Source organism: Homo sapiens, chromosome 4 (genome assembly GCF_000001405.40).
Source record: "Homo sapiens chromosome 4, GRCh38.p14 Primary Assembly".
NCBI lineage: Eukaryota > Metazoa > Chordata > Mammalia > Primates > Hominidae > Homo > Homo sapiens.
Genome location: NC_000004.12, coordinates 56,907,357 through 56,928,491, shown reverse-complemented (window position 1 = coordinate 56,928,491; position 21,135 = coordinate 56,907,357). Strand labels below are relative to the sequence as shown.

Sequence of the window (21,135 nt, the reverse complement as noted above, 5' to 3'; positions counted from 1 at the left end):
TGGAGTTGTGAATGTGTTACTGTACTCCAACCTGGGCAACAGGGCAAGGCCCTGTCTCAAAAATACATCAATAAATAAAATTCCCAGCCAGGTGTGGTGGCTCACACCTGTAATCCCAGCACTTTGGGAGGCGAAGGCAGTGGATCACCTGAGGTCAGGAGTTCAAGACCAGCCTGGCCAACATGGTGAAACCCTGTTTCTACTAAAAATACAAAAAATTAGCCGGGTGTAGTGGCAGATGCCTGTAATCCCAGCTACTCAGGAGGCTGAAGAAGGAGAATTGCTTGGACCCAGAAGGCAAGATTACAGTGAGCCAAGATCGCACCACTGCACTACAGCCTGGGCGACAAGAGCGAAACTTCGTCTCAAAAATAAATAAAAATAAAATAAAATTCCCATACTCCCTCCACCCTAAATTTCTTATGGTAAATCTTGAGAAAAATATCTTTCACTCTGGGCGATACTCCCAGATCCTAGGTGCAAAAGTTTTGAAATTCTGCTTTAGTCTGAGCAAAGGCTTTTTCTTGAAATTTAATCCTTCTGTCCGTCATGGCAAGAGCTGAGTAAATTTTCACTTAGCAAACTTCCTGCGCTAGCATTGCTATTTTAAAGCAAAAATATAGGCCAAGGTAATTATTCAGAAAACTTTCTTGATTTTCCCCCCACCTTTCTATAAAATACATAAAGGAACTAGGTAATGAGAAGTGGCACACAAATAGATATGGTATGTAAAATAAGCAAAGTCACAATCACTGATACATAAAAAACCAGAACCCCCACCCCCAAATTAAAGGCATAAGAGTAATACATTCTACCTGAATACATACCCATCTAGATCACACTCTAGTAAATATTACCAAATGGTATCCATACCCCACTGGTCCAATGGAATGCATAGTAGAAAAACGGAAATTGACATTTATGAAAATTCATCTCAAACATTCTCAAATTCATATCAAATTGTACTAAAAATTTTCATAAAGCAAAACTCAGACATTAGGTAAAACCATGTAGATGTTAAGTTTTACATGATTAGAAAATGCCTGGTGATAAAATAATCACCTTATCCAGGTAGTCAAATTAGATATTCAGCTGACTGGACAATTCTTCTCCATGTTGGTCTACTAACAGATTTACAAATATGCAAGTTTCTACAACATGCTACATTACTCTATACCTGGTTCTCTCCAGTGAATGATTTAAATGGAGACAAACATTTTAACATACGTGGACATAGAATGTAGAAAGATAGGTAGCATAAGGCCTAAGAACTTCTAGATAGAGCTAGACCATCTGGGAGATAAAACATGAGCTCTGCAAGTTGCTCACTCTGAGACTTTGAGCAAAGTCCTGAAACCTCTCTAGAGTTCAATTTCTTTCTTTTTTTTTTTTCTTGAGATGGAGTTTCACTCTTGTTGCCCAGTCTGGAGTGCAATGGCGCGATCTCGGCTCACTGCAACCCCCGCCTCCCAGGTTCAAGCGATTCTCCTGCCTCACCTTCCCTAGTAGCTGGGATTACAGGCATGTGCCACTAAGCCTGGCTAATTTTGTATTTTTAGTAGAGACGGCATTTCTCCATGTTGATCAGGCTGGTCTCGAACTCCTGATCTCAGGTGATCCACCCTCCTCGGCCTCCCAAAGTGCTGGGATTACAGGCGTGAGCCACCGCGCCCGGCCTCAATTTCATCTATAAAATACTCTCTAAGTGTTGTGAGCTATAAATAATCTAATCTATGTAAAGTCCTTAACATGGAGCAGACAGCAAGAACTCAAAATGTGTTACCTATAATTGTTCACTTTTGGAACCAATTGGTAACTTTGAGTATGGATAAATAAAAGGGAAGACTCAGCAGGGCGCGGTGGGTCACGCCTGTAGTCCCAAAACTTTGGGAGGCATTTTTGTAAAAATATAAAATTTGGGGAGGCATTTTGTAAAAATACAAAAAAATTAGCTAGGCGTGGTGATGCGTGCCTACAGTCCCAGCTACTTGGGAGGCTGAGGCAGGAGAATCCCTTGAACCCGGGAGGCAGAGGGTGCAGTGAGCCGAGATCGCACTACTGCACTCCAGCCTGGGCAACAGAGCAAGACTCCATCTCAAAAAAATAAATAAATAAAAAAGGCTGGGCGCAGTGGCTCACGCCTGTAATCCCAGCACTTTGGGAAGCCGAGGCAGGCGAATCAAGAGGTCAGGAGTTGGAGACCAGGAGCCGGAGACCAGTCTGGCCAATATGGTGAAACCCCATCTCTACTAAAGATACAAAAACTTAGCCAGGCGTGGTGGTGCATGCCTGTAATCCCAGCTACTCGGGAGGCTGAGGCAGGAGAATCACTTGAACCCAGGAGGCGGAGGTTACAGTGAGCTGAAATCGTGCCATTGCACTCCAGCCTGGACGACAGGGTGAGACTCCATCTCAATCAATCGATCAATCAAGGGGAAGACTCTTACGTATCCTGTCTTTCCTACATCATGAGTAAATAGATAAGTGGAATTTATCTCTTCTCTTCATATTTACACACTAATAAAATAACTATAATTAAAATAGCACCATTTTATAACTCTGATGAATAAGGAGATCTATAGAGCAAGCATGCATCCATCAAGGTGCGAGGGTCCACCTAAGGAATGGTGAACGGAAAGGGAGGATGTAGAAATTTTCTGTTTAAAATTTGATGGCATGATTTATTTGCTCCGTTCTTTTTCTCCCGTAATTTTTACTTTATTGCCATGAAGTCTTGCTTATATTAAAATATATTCATCAAGATTTTCTAATTAGTACCTACCTGAATATTAACTTTTGCCCTGTACAAACAATTTTAAATTCTTTTTCCCAATTCTAGTAACAGGTTCTCTTCTTTATAAATCTACCAATTGTCTGTTTTATGCCTCCGAAATGAATTTATAGGTGTAAGCCAAGACAAAAGGGGAAAGAGTTCTGCAAGCTTTACACATACGTATCAAAAATATTCTTAGAAGAATGGCCAGGCATAGTGGTTCACACCCGTAATCCTAGCACTTTTGGGAGGATGAGGTGAGGAAGATTGCTTGAGCTAAGGAGGTTGAGACCAGTCTGGGCAACCTAGTGAGACCCTGTGTACAAAAAAATTTTTAAATTAGCCACATGTTATAGCACAAGCCTACAGTGCCACCTACTCCAGAGGCTGAGGTGGGAGGATCGTTTGAGCCTAGGAGGTTAAAGCCGCAGTGAAAAATACACAAATACAAGCCTCTCAATTTAAGTTTTTAAATTAATTCCCTTAAAAATAAAAACAAAACAAAACAAAAACCAAGAGAGAATGGCAAAGAAATTTTTTTTTTTTTTTTTTTTGAGACTGAGTCTCGCTCAGCTGCCCAGGCTGGAGTGCAATGGCGCAATCTCGGCTCACTGCAACCACCGTCTCCCGGGTTCAAGTGATTCTCCTGTCTCAGCCTCCGGAGTAGCTGGGATTACAGGCACCCGCCATCATGCCAGGCTAATTTTTGTATTTTAGCAGAGATGGGGTACCACCATGTTGGCCAGCCTGGTCTTGAACTTCTGACCTCCGATGATCCGCTCACCATGGTTTCCCAAAGCGCTAGGATTACAGGTGTGAACAACCGTGCATAGCCGGCAAAGAAAATTTTTAAGTAAAAAGTAATGGCGGCATACAATACATTACCAGCAATAAAATGAAGTCCAATAACGCAACATGGATAAATCTCAAGAACATTTTATAAAAGAATGTTCTAAAACTAGGTGCAGTGGCTCATGCCTGTACTCCTAGCACTTTGGTAGGGTGAGGCAAGTGGATCGCTTGAGCCCAGGAGTTCAAAACCAGCCTGGGCCAACATAGTAAGACTCCATCTCTACAAAAAAGAAAGAAAAAAAAAAAACAGGCATGGTAGCGCACACCTGTGGTCCCAGCTACTTGGGAGGTTAAGGTGGCAGGACTGCCTGAGCCCAAGAGGTTTAGACAGCTGTAACTGCACCCACTGCACTCCACCCTGAGTGACAGAGTGAGATCCCACCTCAAACAAACAAATTCTATAATGTTCTTTGGTAGGAGACAGAATATCATCCAGGGGAAAGACTGGGTGGAAAGGGCAAGGTGTTTCTGAGCAGAAATATTCCATCTCTTGTTCTTGAGTGATAATCAAATAGGTGAAAGCATAGTCACTGAGCTGTACACTCAAGACCTGTGCATTTTTAAATTTATAAATTATATCTCAATAAAATAGTTTTTAAAATTTATTCTACAAAGACTCTCAAGCCATCACAATATCTTTCAAACAATCCCAGCTATTTAAAAGTCCCTTGGCACCAACGTTATCAACAGAAAAAAATAAAACATGTCTGTCTGGGCACAGTGACTCAAACCTGTAATCCCAACACTTTGGGAGGCTGAGACAAGAGAACTGCTTGAGGCCAGGAGTTTGAGGCCAGCCTGGGCAACACAGCAAGACCCAGTCTCCATAGAAAGAAATAGGATATTGGCCGGGTGTGGTGGCTCACGCCTGTAATCCCAGCACTTTGGGAGGCTGAGGCGGGCAGATCATGAGGTCAGGAGATCAAGACTATCCTGGCTAACATGGTGAAACCCCGTCTCTACTAAAAATACAAAAAATTAGCCTGGCATGGTGGCACGAGCCTGTAGTCCCAGATACTAGGGAGGCTGAGGCAGGAGAATCGCTTGAACCTAGGAGGTGGAGGTTGCAGTGAGCCGAGGTCGCACCATTGCACTCCAGCCTGGGCGACAGCAAGACTCAGTCTCAATAAATAAATAAATACGATATTTAAATAAAAATAATAGTTCCAGCCAGGCGCGGTGACTCATGCCTGTAATTCCAGCACTTTGGGAGGCTGAGGTGGGTGGATCAACACCTCTACTAAAAATACAAAAATCAGCCAGGCATGGTGGCGGGTGCCTGTAATTTCAGCTACACAGGAGGCTGAGGAAGATTCTATAGCTTGAACCCGGGAGGTAGAAGTTGCAGTGAGCCGAGATCGCACCATTGTACTCTAGCTGGGTGACAAGAGCGAAACTGTCTCAAAAATAATAATAATAATAATAGTCCCCAATTAGCTGGAGTGGTGGCATGTGCCAGTAGACCTAGCGACTCAGGAGACTGAGGCAAGAGGATGGCTTGAGCCTAGGCATATGAAGTTGCAGTGAGGCATGATCGCATCACTGCATTCCAGCCTGCGCAGCAGAGTCCCCAACTCCAAAAACAACAACAACAAAATTACTTATTTGTGAGCTTGTATCCTATAATATGTAATCTGAAACTCAGTATCTTCGTAGTACTAAGACTGGAGACAGCAAATACTTGTTTTTACTATTCAGCATACATACAATAGCTAGTGGCTACTACTAGTTTTTAAGACACCATTAAAATACTTGCTATACTGTAACAGCAAATACTAAAAATCATCTTTAAAATACAGCAGGCAAAACTCAAAACATTTTGCAAACCCAAATACAACTGTTTCAGTCAAAGATTATCAACTGGTGTAAAACACCATAAACATTTAAACAGTGACAAGACAAAGTATTACTAATTGAACGAAAGGATAAAAGTATGTAGTCATTCTAAATGCAGTGACCTAACATTATATTAATGGGTCAACCACGTGACTTTAAATGAGGCATATCATTTGCGAGAAAGATTATCAAGCATTTAAATTTAATTTCCAGTTTACAATACAAAGGACAGAAGAAAAGCTAAATGACACCATGAGAAAACAAGTGGACATATCCAGAAGGAAGGACATTCTACAGGAAAAAAGGTCGTATTTTTTTCAATGCCCTACATTCCCCAACTGTAAAATGGGGATAATAGAACTCATGCAACATAAAATATTTATGAAGACAAAAACTAGTTAACTAATATAAAGCTCTTGGCCGGGAGCAGTGGCTCACGCCTGTAATCCCAGCACGTTGGGAGGCTGAGGCAGGCGGATCACCTGACATCAGGAGTTCGAGACCAGGCTGGTCAACATGGTGAAACCTCATCTCTACTAAAAATACAAAATTAGCTGGGTGTGGTGGCACATGCCTGTAATCCCAGCTACTTGGGAGGTTGAGGCAGGAGAATCGCTTGAACCTGGGAGACGGAGGTTGCAGTGAGCTGCGATCACACCATTTTATTCCAGCCTGGGCAACAAGAGCGAAACTCCATCTCAGAAAAAAAAAAAAAGTAATAATAATAATAATAATAATAATAATAATAATAATACAAAGCTCTCAAATATTTTACTAAAAAGCTAGTACAACTATCAACAGGACATGATGCTTACCTCCAAAGTCTGAAATTGCATCCACATTACCATCAGAGAATGAAACCAAAAAACACCCAAAAATAATAAAACCAGGTTTCTGGTTAAGTGGCACCACTCAATGGCTTAGATTTAGGAAAAAAACACTCAAAGTACATTAGCGTGACAAGCACGTAGGGTCAAGAAAGGCTAGCAACTATACTACAGGACACCTTCATAGCTGTTCAAATAAATCAGAATCTGTGACATAATCAAGTCTTATTATCAAGTCTTGTTACTAACTCATGGCAGCAATGTCCAGTAGAAATATAATGCATATCACACATGTAATCTTAAATTTTCTAGTAGTCATACCACAAAGGTAAAAAGGAAACAGTTAAAATTAATTTTATTACTTTTTAAAGCCAATGTATACAATAATTTTGCCATATGATCAACTTGAAAAATAAATATTTAACATTCTTTTATTTTTTCTCTAACCTGCTTCAGAGAAAGATAGTCTTTTCTTCACATTGTTTGAAATCTGTGGCCGGGCGCGGTGGCTCACACCTGTAATCCCAGCACTTTGGGAGGCCAAGATGCGCAGACCACTTTAGGCCAGGAGTTCGAGACCAAGCTGACCAACATGGCGAAACCCCATCTCTACTAAAATTACAAAAATTAGCTGGGTATGGTGGCACATGCCTGTAATCCCAGCTACTGGGGAGGCTGAGGCATGAGAATTGCTTGAACCCCGGAGGCAGAGGTTGCAGTGAGCTGAGATGCGCGCCACTGCACTCCAGCCTGGGGGATACAGCAAGACTCTGTCTCAACAGAAAAAAAATAATAATAAAATAAAATTTAAAAAATCTGGTAAGTACATATTTTATAAGTATCAATTCAAACTACTAATGTTTCGAAAGCTTAATAGCCACATGTGGCTAGTGGCTACTCAAGCGAATAGCACAGATCTAAGCTAATTATTAACTTAAGGGAGATGGTTCTACATAGGCTTTTGTAACAGCAAGATTTAAGATACTTTTCCCACAGGGATATACATTCTAAATCTGTATTCTAATTAGAAGTGGTAGTTCGGCCAGGCATGGTGGCTCATGACTGTAATCCCAGTACTTTGGGAGGCCAAAGTGGGTGGATCATGAGGTCAGGAGTTCGAGACCAGCCTGACCAACATGGTGAAACCCCATCTCTACTAAAAATACAAGAATCAGCCGGGCATGGTGGTGCGCGCCTGTAATCCCAGCTATTCAGGAGGCTGAGGCAGGAGAATCGCTTGAACCTGGGAAGCGGAGGTTGCGGTGAGCTGAGATCGCACTACTGCACTCCAGCCTAGACGACAGAGCAAGACTCCGTCTCCAAAAAAAATATAAAAATAAAAAGTAAAAGTGGTAGTTCACCAAGAGTCAATCAGGGCTACCCATTCAAGCAAGACCACCAATGCTAACATTACTTTTTAACTTGGCCACTTGAATACTTTGACAATAGGGACTTTTTTTTCAAGATAGAGTTTCGCTCTTGATGGCGTGATCTCGGCTTACAACCTCTGCCTCCTAAAGTTCAAGCAATTCTCTTGCCTCAGCCTACTGAGCAGCTGGGATTACAGGCATGCGCCACCACGCCTGGCTAATTTTGTATTTTTAGTAGAGACAGGATTTCTCCATGTTGGTCAGGCTAGTCTCAAACTACCCCGCCTCAGGTGATCCGCCCACCTTGGCCTCCCAAAGTGCTGGGATTAAGGGCGTGAGCCACCATGCTGGCCAACAGGGACTAATTATGAGTGGTGATGGTGATTGTTTCAGTCACTGGAGTGGACGAATCTCTCATGTTACAGTCCTATACTCTTAATACAGCTTAATAAATTGGCATCCTAGATTGTCTATCATTTTCTTTTTCAAGCTAAACTTTTGCAGTCAGTCCTCAAAAGCTCGACCAAACCTTGAAACAGAACAAACCTTCATTTCAGGACCTGAGAAGCTAAGAAGGAATCCCTGACACTTGTCAACCACACGTTGTGACTCTCAGCTTTATACTGTTAGGAGAAATATGAGAAGTAGGGGTTAAAAGATCAATCAGTCTTGGTCTACATTAGTTTAACTTTTGTTGGAGTCACGGAACGCTTCAAAGATTTGATGAGAATTAAGGCCCCTCCTCCCAGAAAAAGTGTACACAAAAATTCCATTTTCAGGAGGTCCACCTTTGGATTCCATGTTAGGAATCCCCAGATTGACGGAATACTGATTTTTAAATTCTGACTTCTAAATTATATTAAAAATAAATAATAAGTAAATGACTCGGTTACAAGTCTAAAAGAATTTCCTTAAAATGGTCATTTACTGAAAATGATAGAAAAGTTCCAATTTCTTACCAACCTGAATGAGTACGCATATGTCTAGTTAGATGAGTCTTCTGAGAACTTGAGTAAGGACAAAGTTCACATTTATATGGGCGTTCTCCTGCAAAATTTCAATAATATAAGAGTGTTTAAATGTCACGAAATAGCCAAATACAATTCTCACTAACAATGCAACAATGTTCAGCGCTCAGCACATTTTAACAAGAATTTTTTTTTCCTATTTCTGGCAAAAAGATCAATTTATCATGTACTTAAAATGTAAGTTATTTATTTCAGAAACTATGACTACATTATTTTGGCTTTGCTGACAAGAAAACAACATTGACTTTCCGAATTCTCACAGCCCTTTTAATTTTCACAGTGATACTGCATGTTAATACATTAAGTAGTGATAAGTAAAAAACTATCTTGATAAGGTACAAAGCATTTTTGTTATATTAAGAATCACCTTTTAAAAAATCTACCTGAACTGTCTGATGCTATTAACACCGGTTTTTAGGTTTTTTTTTTAACTTGTAAATGATGAATCTACTACCATTTGAAAGTGTTAGCTTAAAACAATACTTCTGAGTGAGAATGTAATTGCTTTATGCTAAAAATTTTCAAGTGGTAGAGTTCCAGACCAGCCTGGGCAACACAGCAATACCTCATTTCTAAAATTTTATTTTAAAAACTAGCCTGGGGCTGGGCACGGTGGCCCACGCCTGAAATCCCAGCACTTTGGGAGGCTGAGGCTGGTAGATCACGAGGTAAGGAGTTCAAGACCAGCCTGGCCAACATAATTAAACCCCATCTCTGCTAAAAATACAAAAAAAATTAGCCGGGCATGGTGGTACGTGCCTGTTGTCCCAGCTACTCGGGAGGCTGAGTGAGACTTCATCTCGTTTAAAAAAAAAAAAAAAATAGCCTGGGCTGAGCATGGGGATTGTGGCCCCTGACTGTAACCCCAACACTTTGGGAGGCCAAGACAGGCCAATCATTTGAGCCCAGGAGTTCAAGACTAGCCTGGGCAACATAGCAAGACCTCCTCTCTACAAAAAACAGAAAAATTAGCCAGGCGTGGTGGCGCATGCCTGTGGTCCCAGCTACTTGGGAGGCTGAGATGGGAGGATTGCTTGAGCCCAAGAAGGATGAGGCTGGTGTGAGCCATGATTGTACCACCGTGCTCCAGCCTGGGTGAAAGTGAGACCCTGTAGTCTCACTTGGGAGGCTGACGCGGGAGGATCACTTGAGCCCAGAGTTTGAGGCTGCAATGAGCTATGACGGCACCACTATACTCCAGCCTGGAGTACAGAGAGAGAGCCTGTCTCTAAAAATAAAAATAAATAAAAAACATTAAGCTAAAAAGAAAAATTTAAGAGAAGGTCATCAATTTTCTTTTTATTGTTTTTTATGAGACAGGGTCTCGCTCTGTTGCCCAGACTGGAGTGTGGTGGCATGAACGTAGCTTCTGCAGCCTGGACCTCCCGGGCTCAACAGATCCTCCCACTTCAGCCTCCTAAGTAGCTGGGACCATAGGCGTGTGCCACCAAGCCCAGCTAATTTTTTTTTTTTTTGGGTAGAGACCAGGTTTTGCCATGTTGCCCAGACTGGTCTCGAACTTCTGGGCTCAAGCAATCCGCCTATATTGGCCTCCCAAAGTGCTGGGATTACGGGCATGAGCCACCATGCCCAACCAGTCATCAATTTTTAAAACAAATTATAAAAGCCACAGGGACTGAAGACTAGAGGCCAGTGATTTAATACTGAAGAATTTAAGACTCAAAGGTAGGAAACGTATATTCTTTTTAGACATGGCTGTCAACAACAAAACAAGCCTTTTTTTTTTTTTTTTTGAGACGGAGTCTCACTCTGTTGCCCATGCTGGAGTGCACTGGTGAGATCTCGGCTCACTGCAAGCTATGCCTCCTGGGTTCACACCATTCTCCTGCCTCAGCCTCCTGAGTAGCTGGGACTACAGGCGCCCGCCACCATGCCCGGCTAATTTTTTGGTATTTTTAGCAGAGACGGGGTTTCACCTTGTTAGCCAGGATGGTCTCGATCTCCTGACCTCGTGATCCACTCACCTCGGCCTCCCAAAGTGCTGGGATTACAGGCATGAGCCGCCACACCCGGCAAAACAAGCTTTTAAAAAAAGGTATACAATTTGTTTTAATATAGTCTCCAAACACAAGATAATTATGACCTTGGTAAAGCTACTAAAACACCGTTTCCCCATCTGTAAAAGTAACAGAATCTTCATTTCCTGTAATTGCAAAAGCTTAAATAATACATGCAGAGCATTTAACACTGTGTCTGGCACATAGTAAAGCCCTCAATAAATGTAAGCTATCAATTTTGTCTAAGACAGAAACAAATGTGTCTAATAAAATAAGGAAAAGGTGGTACACAGAAAAAAGAACAGGCCAGGCATGGTGGCTCATGCCTGTAATCCCAGCACTTTGGGAGGTAGGCGGATCATTTGAGCCCAGAAGGCCGAGGCTTCAGTGAGCCGTGACCACACCACTGCACTCCACACAGGGCAACAGAGCGAGACCCTGTCTTAAAACAAAAAACAAACAACAACAAAAAGAATGGTGATAGATGGGAAATGTGTTCCTCATAACTATTCTGCTGTAATTCGCTGGTAGCTACGAATTAGCTGTAAAGAGTTGGTAGCAACAGAATGCCTACCTTATGACCTGGAACAATTAAGATAGTTTTATGTTAATGGAATTCTGTAAAAAAAAGATTTACAAATAGCCAATAAACACATGAAAAGATGAACATTATCATTAGCAGTGAGGGAAATGCAAATCAAAACCACAAGGAGATGAAGACTTCATATCCACTAAGATAGCTGTAATCACAAAGACAGATGTTAACAGTATTATTGCTAAGGATGTGCTGAAATTGGAACCCTCACACATTGCTGGTGGGATTGTAAAATGGCATGGCTAATTTGGAAAACAGTTTGGCAATTACCCAAAATGTTGCTACTATACTGCCCCACAATCTCACGCTTAGGTATATATCCAAAAGAAACAAAAACATACGTCCACACAAAACTTAAACATGAATATTCATAGCAGCATTATTCAGACTGCTTATTATGATTCCACTTGTGTGAAATATTCAGAACAGGCCAATATATAGTGAACTGCATATGTAAACTGTATCTCAATAAAAAATTAAATACCACTGCAGATAAACTTGAAGAATCAAAGATAATTTACTTTTAAATTCTTTTATTTTATTATTATTTTTTTTTGAGACGCAGTCTCGCTCTGTCGCCCAGGCTGGAGTGCAGTGGCGCGATTTTGGCTCACTGCAACCTCTGCCTCTTGGGTTCAAGTGATTCTCCTGCCTCAGCCTCCCGAGAAGCTGGGACTACAGGCTAAGTGTTGTATTTTTAGTAGAGACAGGGTTTCACCATGCTGACCAGGCTGGTCTCAAACTCCCAACCTCAGGTGATCTGCCTGCCTCCCAAGGTGCTGGGATTACAGGCATGAGCCATCTCGCCCAGCCTGCTTTTAAATTCTTTACAACAGATTACTTTATCTGTGTAATTCCACAAACTAGGCATAACTCTCCTCCAGAAAGCTTAGTTACCTACTGATTTTTCAGTTACACATACAGGCAAAAAGGTTTTCTTTAAAAGTAGATTTTGTGAACAAGTTAAATATCAAAACCACTAAACTAAAGAGGTCAACCAGAATGAAAGTCCCCAGCTCCCCCCACCCTTTTGGTGGAGGTTGCAGTGAGTCGAGATTGCTGAACTTTAAATGCTACTTGTAGTTTGTTTTTGAGACAGAGTCTCACTCTGTCCCCCAGGCTGGAGTGCAGTTGCACAATCTCGACTCACTGCAACCTCCACCTCCCAGGTTCAAGCGATTCTCCTGCCTCATCCTCCCAAAGTGCTAGGATTACAGGCGTGAGCCATCGTGGAACGGCTATAAATGATACTTGTATATGACCTTGGGAACATCACTTCAGCCTTTTAAATCTGAAGTTTTCCCCTGTGTAAACATGAACTATCATCACAGATGCTATTTTCCTCAATGGATTGTTCTGAAGATTAGCACAGAATAGAAGGGCACAAGAAACACAATTAAGCCCACTAAGCCAATCAGAAAACTGGGCTACTTACTAATGCAAGTGGAAATGAGAAGTAATTCCTGAACACTATCAATTTAAGTGATTCCTGTCTTTTCTGTCTCTACTCTTCCGCACCAGATGAGTTTATTTTCCATAATTTTCAGAACTATCCATTTAATACCAGAGATACTTTCAGAATTTACATAATCAAAATATTAACCTTCAATCTATACATCACCAAATTGTTTTAAAATGTAATAAAGGCCAGGTTTGGTGGCTCACGCTTGTAATTCCAGCACCTTGAGAGGCCGAGGTCAGCTGATCACAAGGTCAGGAGGTCGAGACCAGCCTGGCCAACATGGTGAAACGCTGTCTCTACTAAAAATTTTTTAAAAAATTAGCTGGGCGTGGTGGCACGCACCTGTAATCCCAGCTCCTCGGGAGGCTGAGGCAGGAGAATCACTTAAGCCCTGGAGGCAGAGGTTGCAGTGAACAGAGATCACGCCATTGCACTCCAGCCTGAGCAACAGAGCAAGACTCCATCTCAAAAAAAAAAAAAAAAAAAAAAATACACACACACACACACACAAAATTGGCCAGGCGTGGTGGCTCACGCCTGTAATCTTTGGGAGGCCGCGGCGGGTGGATCACTTGAGGCCGGGAGTTCGAGACCAGCCTGCCCAACATGGAGAAACCTTGTCTCTACTAAAAATACAAAATTAGCAGGTGTGGTGGCGCATGCCTGGAATCCCAGCTACTCAGGAGGCTGAGGCAGGATAATTGCTTGTACCTGGGAGGCGGAGGTTGCAGTGAGCCGAGATTGCACCATTGCACTCCACCCTGGGCGACAAGAGTAAAACTGTCTCAAAAAAAAAAAAAAAAAAAAAGTTAAAAAAAAAAAAAATCAGAATGAAGGTAATACTGGGGAAAAATAAGCATTAAGACCAAATAAACCAGGCCAGGCTTGGTGGCTCAGGCCTGTAATCCCAGCACTTCAGGAGGCTGAGGTGGGCAGACGACCTGAGGTCAGGAGTTCAAGACTAGCCTGGCCAACACGGTGAAACCACATCTCTACTGAAAATACAAAAATTAGCCGGGCATGGTGGAAGGCACCTGTAATCCCAGCTAAATGAATATGGTGTACTTATTTATGAGTTTAGTATATATGATGGCTGGGATTTAAGATATTGTAGGTAAGGCTGGTTTAGTCTAACAGTCTGTCTAATTCAAACTGTCAAGTGATTAATGGGGTTGTGTCCCCAAGTAACTTTCATTTCCTACTTTATGTATTTTTGTAATGCTTGACCTTTACTTCTGAAATCGAATGGTTTCAAAGCATCGAGACAATCAATCACAGCTTATGACAAATTCCAAAGGGACTACAAATTCTTTTACTGGACTAAATTTTAAAGCATTCAACACATGAGCCATCCATCTGCTGGGGCTTAGCAATCCTGTAACAGAGGTCACTCTTGTAATGGAATTTCACCTGCAAGTTTTATTGTTTAAGCCTGCCAGTTAATAGTTTTAAGTATCTGGGATATAAAAAATAAGTAAATAAAATAAATTTTTAAAAATTAAGTCGCTGGATACGGTGGCTCACACCCATAATCCCAGCACTTTGGGAGGCTAAGGGCAGATTACTTGAGCTCAGGAGTTACAGACCAATCTGGGCAACATGGCGAAACCCTGTCTCTACCATACAAATATCAGCCAGGTGTGGTGGCATGCGTCTGTGGTCCCAGCTACCTGGGGGACTGAGGCGAGAGGGTCACAAGTCCAGGAGGTCAAGGCTGCAGTGAGCAGTGATCTCGCCACTGCACTCCAGGATGGGTGACAAAGTAAAACTATCTCAAAAAAAAAACTGGCCAGGCGCGGTGGCTCACGCCTGTAATCCCAGCACTTTGGGAGGCCGAGGCAGATCACGAGGTCAGGAGTTCGAGACTAGCCTGGCCAACATAGTGAAACCCCATCTCTACTAAAAAAACAAAAAATTAGCTAGCCATGGTGGTGGGCACCTATAATCCCAGCTACTGGGGAGGCTGAGGCATGAGAATCGCTTGAACCTGGGAGGTGGAGGTTGTAGTGAGCCGAGATCGCGTCACTGCACTCCAGCCTGGGGCACAGAGGGAGATCCTATCTCCAAAACAAAACAAAACAAAAATTAAGTCTACCACTCCACTTAAAGCAGCATCAATTCCCCTCCTCAGTGTCCCCTTTACCAGTGGGGTTCAGTCCTGTCAAGTGCCAACTCCTGTAAGAGGAGACCTGAGGCAAACAGCATCCCACACCCCCTATTCATTTGTGACCCCAAGAGTAGAGTACTGGATTATTCTCTATCCATTCATCAGGACCCAAATGTACCAATTCTTACCAAGAAAATGTAACAGAAATGTCCAAATGAGCTACCAATAGTTAAAAACATTTATTTGAAAAATGAGGCCCCTCAATTACAATATTTAAAACCCAATTTAAATTTTAAAAAATTAGGGTGTGGTAGGGCACATCTGTAGTCCCAGTTACTTTGGAGGTTGAGATGGGAGGACTGCCTGAACCCAGGAGGTAGAGGCTGTGGTGAGCTGTGATCACACCACTGCCTGGGCTCCAGGGTGAGACTCCATCTCAAATAAATCAATAAATGAATAAATAAATCCAATTAAAAAAACTACAGTGAACAGCAGCTGAATAAAACCCAATTTAAAAGTGAATGACTAGTATGCACAGTGGCTCACGCCTATAATCCCAACACTTGGGAAGACTGTGGCAGGAGGATCACTTGAGGCCAGGTGTTCAAGACCAGCCTGGGCAACATAGTGAGACCCCCCATCTCCACAAAAAGAAATTAAAAAAAAAAAAAAAGTTTCGGCTGGGTGCGGTAGCCCACCCCTATAATCCCAGCAATTTAGGAGGCCAAAGTGGGTAGATCACCTGAGGTCAGGAGTTTGAGACCAGCCTGGCCAATATGGCAAAACCCCATCTCTACTAAAAATACAAAAATTAGCCAGGGGTGGCACTCACGCCTGTAATCCCAGCATTCTGGGAGGCTGAGGTGGGCGGATCACGAGGTCAGGAGTTCAAGACCAGCCTGGGCAACATGGTGAAACCCCATCTCTACTAAAAATACAAAATCAGCTGGGTGTGGTGGTGGGCACCTATAGTCCCAGCCACTCAGGAGGCTGAGGCAGGAGAACTGCTTGAACCTGGGAGACAGAGGTTGCAGTGAGCCAAGACCATGCCACTGCACTCCAGCCTCGACAACAGAGCCAGACTCCGTCTCAAAAAAAAAAAATTAGCCAGGCACGGTGGTGGGTGCCTGTAATCCCAGCTACTCGGGAGGCTGAGCCAGGGAGGCTGAAGCAAGATAATCACTTGAACCCTGAGGCAGAGGTTACACTGAGCTGAGATCTTGCCACTGCACTCCAGCCTGGGCGACAAAGCCAGACTGTCTCAAAAAAAAAAAAAAAAAAAAAGTTTCAACTTTTTTTATACAGTTGCGCTTAGTATCAGTTCAAACACCCTAAACATAATTGTCTGAAAAATACATTTTCTACAAGTGTTTGCTTTCATAGGAAAATAGTTTCAATTGGTGATAATCCCACCCACCTTTTAAAAACTACCTTCTCACATTTCTTTTTTGTGGACAAAGACAAGTTGTTCCATTTAGGAACTCAATGCTATAAGTCAAATGTTTTAAAGTTTGAGGCTTTTGTTAAGTGGGCATGTGCAAGGTTAATCACTGAGTTTTCCTTTTTATATAAGCCCTCAATTTCTTTCAGAAACTACACTGCATCTTAAATGTGTTCACTGTCACAGAAATAAATACACAAACTTTTTTTTTTCTGTTTTCTTTTTGAGACGGGGGTCTTTCCACGTTTCCCAGACTGGTCTAGAACTTCTGGGCTCAGGCAGTCCTTACGCCTCGGCCTCCCGAGGTGCTGGGATTACAGGCGTGAGCCACCATGCACGGCCAGTCTAACTTGCTGAAGGTAAACCCCAAGTTAGGATATGTACTTTAGTAAGACCACGGTAAGATCTCTTGGCTGTTCCTCTGTGCTTTACATGTAACTTCACATAATCCTCCCAACCTAGATATTGTTACTCCATGGAGAAATTTCTGAACAAAGAGGTTAAACAACTTGTGCAAGGTCACAAAGATAGCAAAATGGAACCTGGATTTGAACCAGAGTCCTTTTTCTCAAGCACTACTTAACTAACCACTCAAGTAACAATCAGAAAAGAGAACTGAACTTATGGACTAGAAAGCTTCTCTTACCTGTATGAGTTCTAACATGCTGAACATAATTGTTTTTTCTGTCTGAAAAATAGTTGCATTTTCCACATGTGTATACTTTCCTTGGAAAATGGTTTCTTAAATGTTTCCTCCAGTGATACTCGCTCACTGTTGTGTATGTGCAAATGATACACTTGTAGACTCGCTCATTATCCCCAGCTCTGGTGTGGTGTTTCAGGTGTGCTGTATAGTGATCATATCGATTAGTATTGTAGCCGCAGCGGTCACAGCGAATGGGGCCCTTGGAGAAATCTCCCTCTTCTGCAGTGGAAGAGCCAGATTCCCTGGCTTTTGCCTGCTTCTCTGCACTCTCTTCCACAAAAAATTTCTTAGCACTGTGAACTCTGATGTGATGCACAAACTGTTCTTCAGATTCTGCTTCATATTGGCATGGCTTACAGCGAAAGGGTTTGGTCTTCGAGCTCTTGCCTTTGTCCTCCGCTCCAGGTGTTTCAGGGGGAAGATCTTTATTTGAACTGTAAATATCTGGAGCACCTGATGCCTCAAATACAGGCTGAGGTTCTACGACGCTGAGTTCCAAACTTCTCAGTTCCATGTTTTCCAGTCCATGAGGTTCACCTTTTATATCAGCAGACTCTTCAAGTCCTTCTCCTTCTTCACTATCTGAAAAGTTGTTATCCCCAACCGGCATCAGTTCTGCCATCTGTCTTTCTTCACCGACCAGGTAATCACAGCAGCTGCCATTTACTTCCCCAGTTAAGGCCACATTTGCCAGCATAATAAGCTGAGGTGCGGCCAGTTCAGCTTTGGAAAGGTCATGCAAGTCATACATGTCGTTAGGCAGGGCCATTCCAATGTTGCCACTGCTGGTAAACAGCCCTCCTCCTCCAGAAGACTGCCCCATTACCTGGGTGGCCATAACTGTATTCTGAATTAAAAACAAAACAAAACAAGAGCACCAGTTTAAACACTACTGTTACTGGCTTAAAACCACATCGCTGTAATTCTTCATAACTTAAAAATTTTCCAGTATGATCTTTATAACTCAGTAAACTTCATCGCCTATTAAAAACAAATCTTTAAAATAGTTGTTAATTCCCAATAGTCTACTGCAATCACCAAAAAAAAATTTCTACTATCCCTATAAAACAATTCTACCAATTGTTTGCACAACTCATTCATCATTCAGCCACTGGCATGTGGTGCCTCCTCAAGCACTTTTAATTGTTCTGGTGGGGATAAAAAGTAACCTTCATTTTTACTGTTAAAATTATTTTAAAAATTCAAAACATGAGTAGTAAATTATTGTCCTCCCAACTTTTCCCCCCTTCAACAGTTCAATGGTCTGAATCAGAAAGCCCAGAAATCCACAAGCCATTCAGTGCATTTATTAAGTACACAAACACATCTGGAAAGTACAAGCCTGTAATAATTGTTCAACTTAATTGGATTTCGCATGAACTCAACTAACTCCAAAAGAATAAACTACTGTGAAAAAGTAGCAGTCAGCCCCTTAATTTTTCGACAACTCCACAGGCTTAAAAGAAAAAACATTTATGGACCCCTTTTCTTGTGAAAAAGGAAGTTTGATTTATTCAAAACTTCACAAATAAAAATTAATAAGCTTATTTTTCTGCAGGCTGAAGTTCCACAACACTGAATTCCAAGCTTTTCAATACGAATAAAATCATCGTGCAACTCAACTCGACAATCAGCAACTTTCTTGCATTGTGCTTGACTTGGCCTACTTGCCTAGTGGAAGCCATTACAAGATCACCTTCTTCAAAACAAGTTGGGCTTTCTAGATGCTACGTTACTTCTCAATCTAAAAGGTGCCATTCTCAAACGAAGTGTTCACTCGCAAATTAAAAAAAGTAAGAAGTTCTAAGAAAATAAAGTTAAACCGAAAATACAAAAAGTAACCCGCTTCACCCAAGTGTATAAACACAAACCGGTTTAGTTCTACGTACCAACAAAAGTTGGAAGCAAATGCCATCACAGAAAACAGAGGGCGAAGGCTGTCCCGGGGCTGAACAGCCCAAGCTATTGGGTAATTTGGCCCAACATCGACTTTTCTAATTGCTCCCTAACCCCTAACTGCCACCCCAAATGGAATTTTAACGATTGTTAGGAAGACCGTCCAGGCACAGCCCGAAAGCCCAACGTGCTGCACGAATTCCTCCGTGCTGCTGCCACCAGCGCCTGCCTCGGCGGCGGCATTCCTAACTGAAATAGGCATTCGGCCATTTTCTCAAAATACCAAACACAAAGCAGCTCTTTGCAAACTCGGGCGCTCTCGCTTCCTCTCGCCTCGGCCCGCTCACTGCACACATTTACACACCAACTCGCGGGAGTCGCCCCGACACTCGTCCTGAGCCTTTTCCTGCGCTCTCCAACACTAAAACGGGGGAGGGGATCAAGCTCGAGGCGCTGTTTGGCCGGAACCAGTCCTCCCCGAGTCCAGGCAGCCCCCTCCCCAGCCCTAGGGCCCCCGTCCCGGGAGAGGACGGAAAGTTACCGCGCAGCCGGCGTCCGGGCTTCTCCGACCGCCCCCGGGCCCCTCCGACCGCCCCGGGGCTCGCCCAACGCCCAGGGCCGGGGAGGCTCCGCGGGCGCCCTCGCGAGGCGTCGGGCTCCGAGCGCCGGAGGGGGCCCCCACACGGGCCAGCCGCCACCCCCGCGCCCCGGAAGTTTGCGAACTTCACTCCCCCACGGCGCCCGGCAGGACGCGCGCCCCAGCCCCGCCAGCTCCAGCGGTCGGGTGGCCGGACGCGGGGGCCAGCGGCGCCGGACGGCTGAAGCGCAGAAATCGCTGTCCAGCCCCGCAGGCGGAACCGCCCGGGCCCCGGGGCTGACTCAACCCGCCCGGCCGCACTCAACGGCGCCTTCCGGCGACAGGGAGAGGCCCTGGGGGAGGGGGCCAGGAGGGCCGCGGGCCGGCGCGGGGCTGCGGTGGGACCCGGGGGCAGGAGGAGGAAGCAGAGGAAGTTTCAGGACTACGGGCCCGAGCAGCTCCGCTCCTTGGCCTCAAAGGACCTGACTCGGTGGAGCGTCCGGGCCAGCGCGGAGGCGGCGTCCCAGCCTCCAGTGGGGAGGGGGTCCAGGCGACGCGCTGCTCCCAACAAACGCCCCCAGCCCCCGGGCGGCTGCTGTGTAACCCGATCCTGCTCGGCCGCCAGCCCCCGCCCGGCGGGGCCGCCGCCGCCGGAGCCACAGTATCTGCAAATCAGCCCTGGACAGCGCCTGACTCCGCGTCCTTCCGCGCCCTCCCCGTCCCGCCACTGCCGCCGCCCGGGCGGCCCTCCCCCACCCTGACCGAGCCCCCAGCCCAGCGCCCCACTTACCGGCCTTCCTCGGTGAGGAGGGGCGGGCGACCCTGAGTCGCCGCTCCTTCTCCGACTACTTTTCTTTGTTGCTGGAGTTTCGGGGGAGAGGTGGGGGAGGGTGGTAAAGTTGGGTGCTGGGGCCGTCGTGGACCAAGAAGGCCCAGGAGTGGGGCTGCAGAGGGTGCTCAGGCCTCCGGGCCTCGCCCTGCCGTCTCGGCTGCGGCAGCCGCCGCCAGGGTCTGGGGCCCCGGGCCTCGGCGGCGCTCGCTCCGCTGCTGCGCCGCGAGCTCGCGGCAGCCGCACATTCCAACACAGGACGCTGCGCCGCGCACCCAGTCCGCGCCGCCGCCGCCGCCACCGCCCGCGGGACACGCCCCCTCCGACGCCCGCGCGCGCCCGCGAGACACGCCCCCTCCGACGCCCGCGCGCGTGGCCGCTAGGCGCGCCCCGCCCCTCTACCAAGCAAGGAGTGCCCCAGTCTCCAGCTCGCCTGGGGGCGCGTCTAGGGGGAGCCGCCCGTAATCCTCCCGGCCCCTCACTCCTGCCCTTAGGTCAGAAAAGAGGCGGGCCCCACTCCCTTTCTCGATTTCTATTACAAACAAACAACAAAAGTTCCCCCCAGCCCTGGCGTGCATGCATGAGAATAGAGCTGTTAAAAGAAGAATCCGCAGGCTTTGACGGGTCTCTTTAGAGCTATTGTCACCGGCCTCTCAAGTCTAAAGCGCTCCAAGATACCCTTCAGATCTCTTCAAGTCTCCACCCATAGCTGTCCTTGACTAATTAAGCTTCGTTTTAAGCGTCTGCGGTAAAAAAAAAAAAAAAAAAAAAAAGTCTTCCAAATTTCAAACTACCGGAGGGGGAATGCAGTCAGTTTG

At 44.7% G+C, this 21,135-nt stretch overlaps 1 protein-coding gene across 5 annotated transcripts in view, besides 6 other annotated features; it reads right to left on the bottom strand.

Annotated features, from left to right (window-relative positions):
* REST (RE1 silencing transcription factor) overlaps positions 1-20,592 on the bottom strand; it is a 27,945-nt gene extending 7,353 nt beyond the window's left edge. Inside the window, exons 1-3 of one of the 5 annotated variants that reach the window (NM_005612.5) lie at positions 20,279-20,592; positions 16,956-17,862; positions 8,622-8,705 (exon numbers count right to left, since the gene is read on the bottom strand). In NM_005612.5, coding sequence (NP_005603.3) covers positions 8,622-8,705; positions 16,956-17,853 — 982 coding nt within the window. In that variant the 5' untranslated portion in view covers positions 17,854-17,862; positions 20,279-20,592. Of the gene's footprint in view, positions 1-8,621; positions 8,706-16,955; positions 17,863-18,904; positions 19,583-20,278 lie in introns of those variants that run through there. The other 4 variants (NM_001363453.3, NM_001193508.2, NM_001440532.1 and 1 more) reach the window with 4 other exon arrangements.
* Positions 13,224-13,724: an enhancer, noted in NCBI's record as "H3K4me1 hESC enhancer chr4:57780934-57781434 (GRCh37/hg19 assembly coordinates)". NCBI's record gives its function as "activates a minimal SCP1, AML or CMV promoter by ChIP-STARR-seq in naive H9 embryonic stem cells {active_cell/tissue: H9 hESC(naive)}" and the evidence as "EXISTENCE:reporter gene assay evidence [ECO:0000049][PMID:30033119]".
* Positions 18,346-19,275: an enhancer, noted in NCBI's record as "H3K27ac hESC enhancer chr4:57775383-57776312 (GRCh37/hg19 assembly coordinates)". NCBI's record gives its function as "activates a minimal SCP1, AML or CMV promoter by ChIP-STARR-seq in primed H9 embryonic stem cells {active_cell/tissue: H9 hESC(primed)}" and the evidence as "EXISTENCE:reporter gene assay evidence [ECO:0000049][PMID:30033119]".
* Positions 19,366-20,215: a silencer, noted in NCBI's record as "silent region_15457". NCBI's record gives its function as "represses an Ori minimal core promoter by ATAC-STARR-seq in GM12878 lymphoblastoid cells {active_cell/tissue: GM12878}" and the evidence as "EXISTENCE:reporter gene assay evidence [ECO:0000049][PMID:35858748]".
* Positions 20,206-21,135: an enhancer, noted in NCBI's record as "OCT4-NANOG-H3K27ac hESC enhancer chr4:57773523-57774452 (GRCh37/hg19 assembly coordinates)". NCBI's record gives its function as "activates a minimal SCP1, AML or CMV promoter by ChIP-STARR-seq in naive and primed H9 embryonic stem cells {active_cell/tissue: H9 hESC(naive and primed)}" and the evidence as "EXISTENCE:reporter gene assay evidence [ECO:0000049][PMID:30033119]".
* Positions 20,326-20,715: a silencer, noted in NCBI's record as "silent region_15456". NCBI's record gives its function as "represses an Ori minimal core promoter by ATAC-STARR-seq in GM12878 lymphoblastoid cells {active_cell/tissue: GM12878}" and the evidence as "EXISTENCE:reporter gene assay evidence [ECO:0000049][PMID:35858748]".
* Positions 20,815-21,109: a silencer, noted in NCBI's record as "tiled region #6073; HepG2 Repressive non-DNase unmatched - State 4:PromP". NCBI's record gives its function as "represses a minimal TATA promoter and a strong SV40 promoter by Sharpr-MPRA in HepG2 cells {active_cell/tissue: HepG2}" and the evidence as "EXISTENCE:reporter gene assay evidence [ECO:0000049][PMID:27701403]".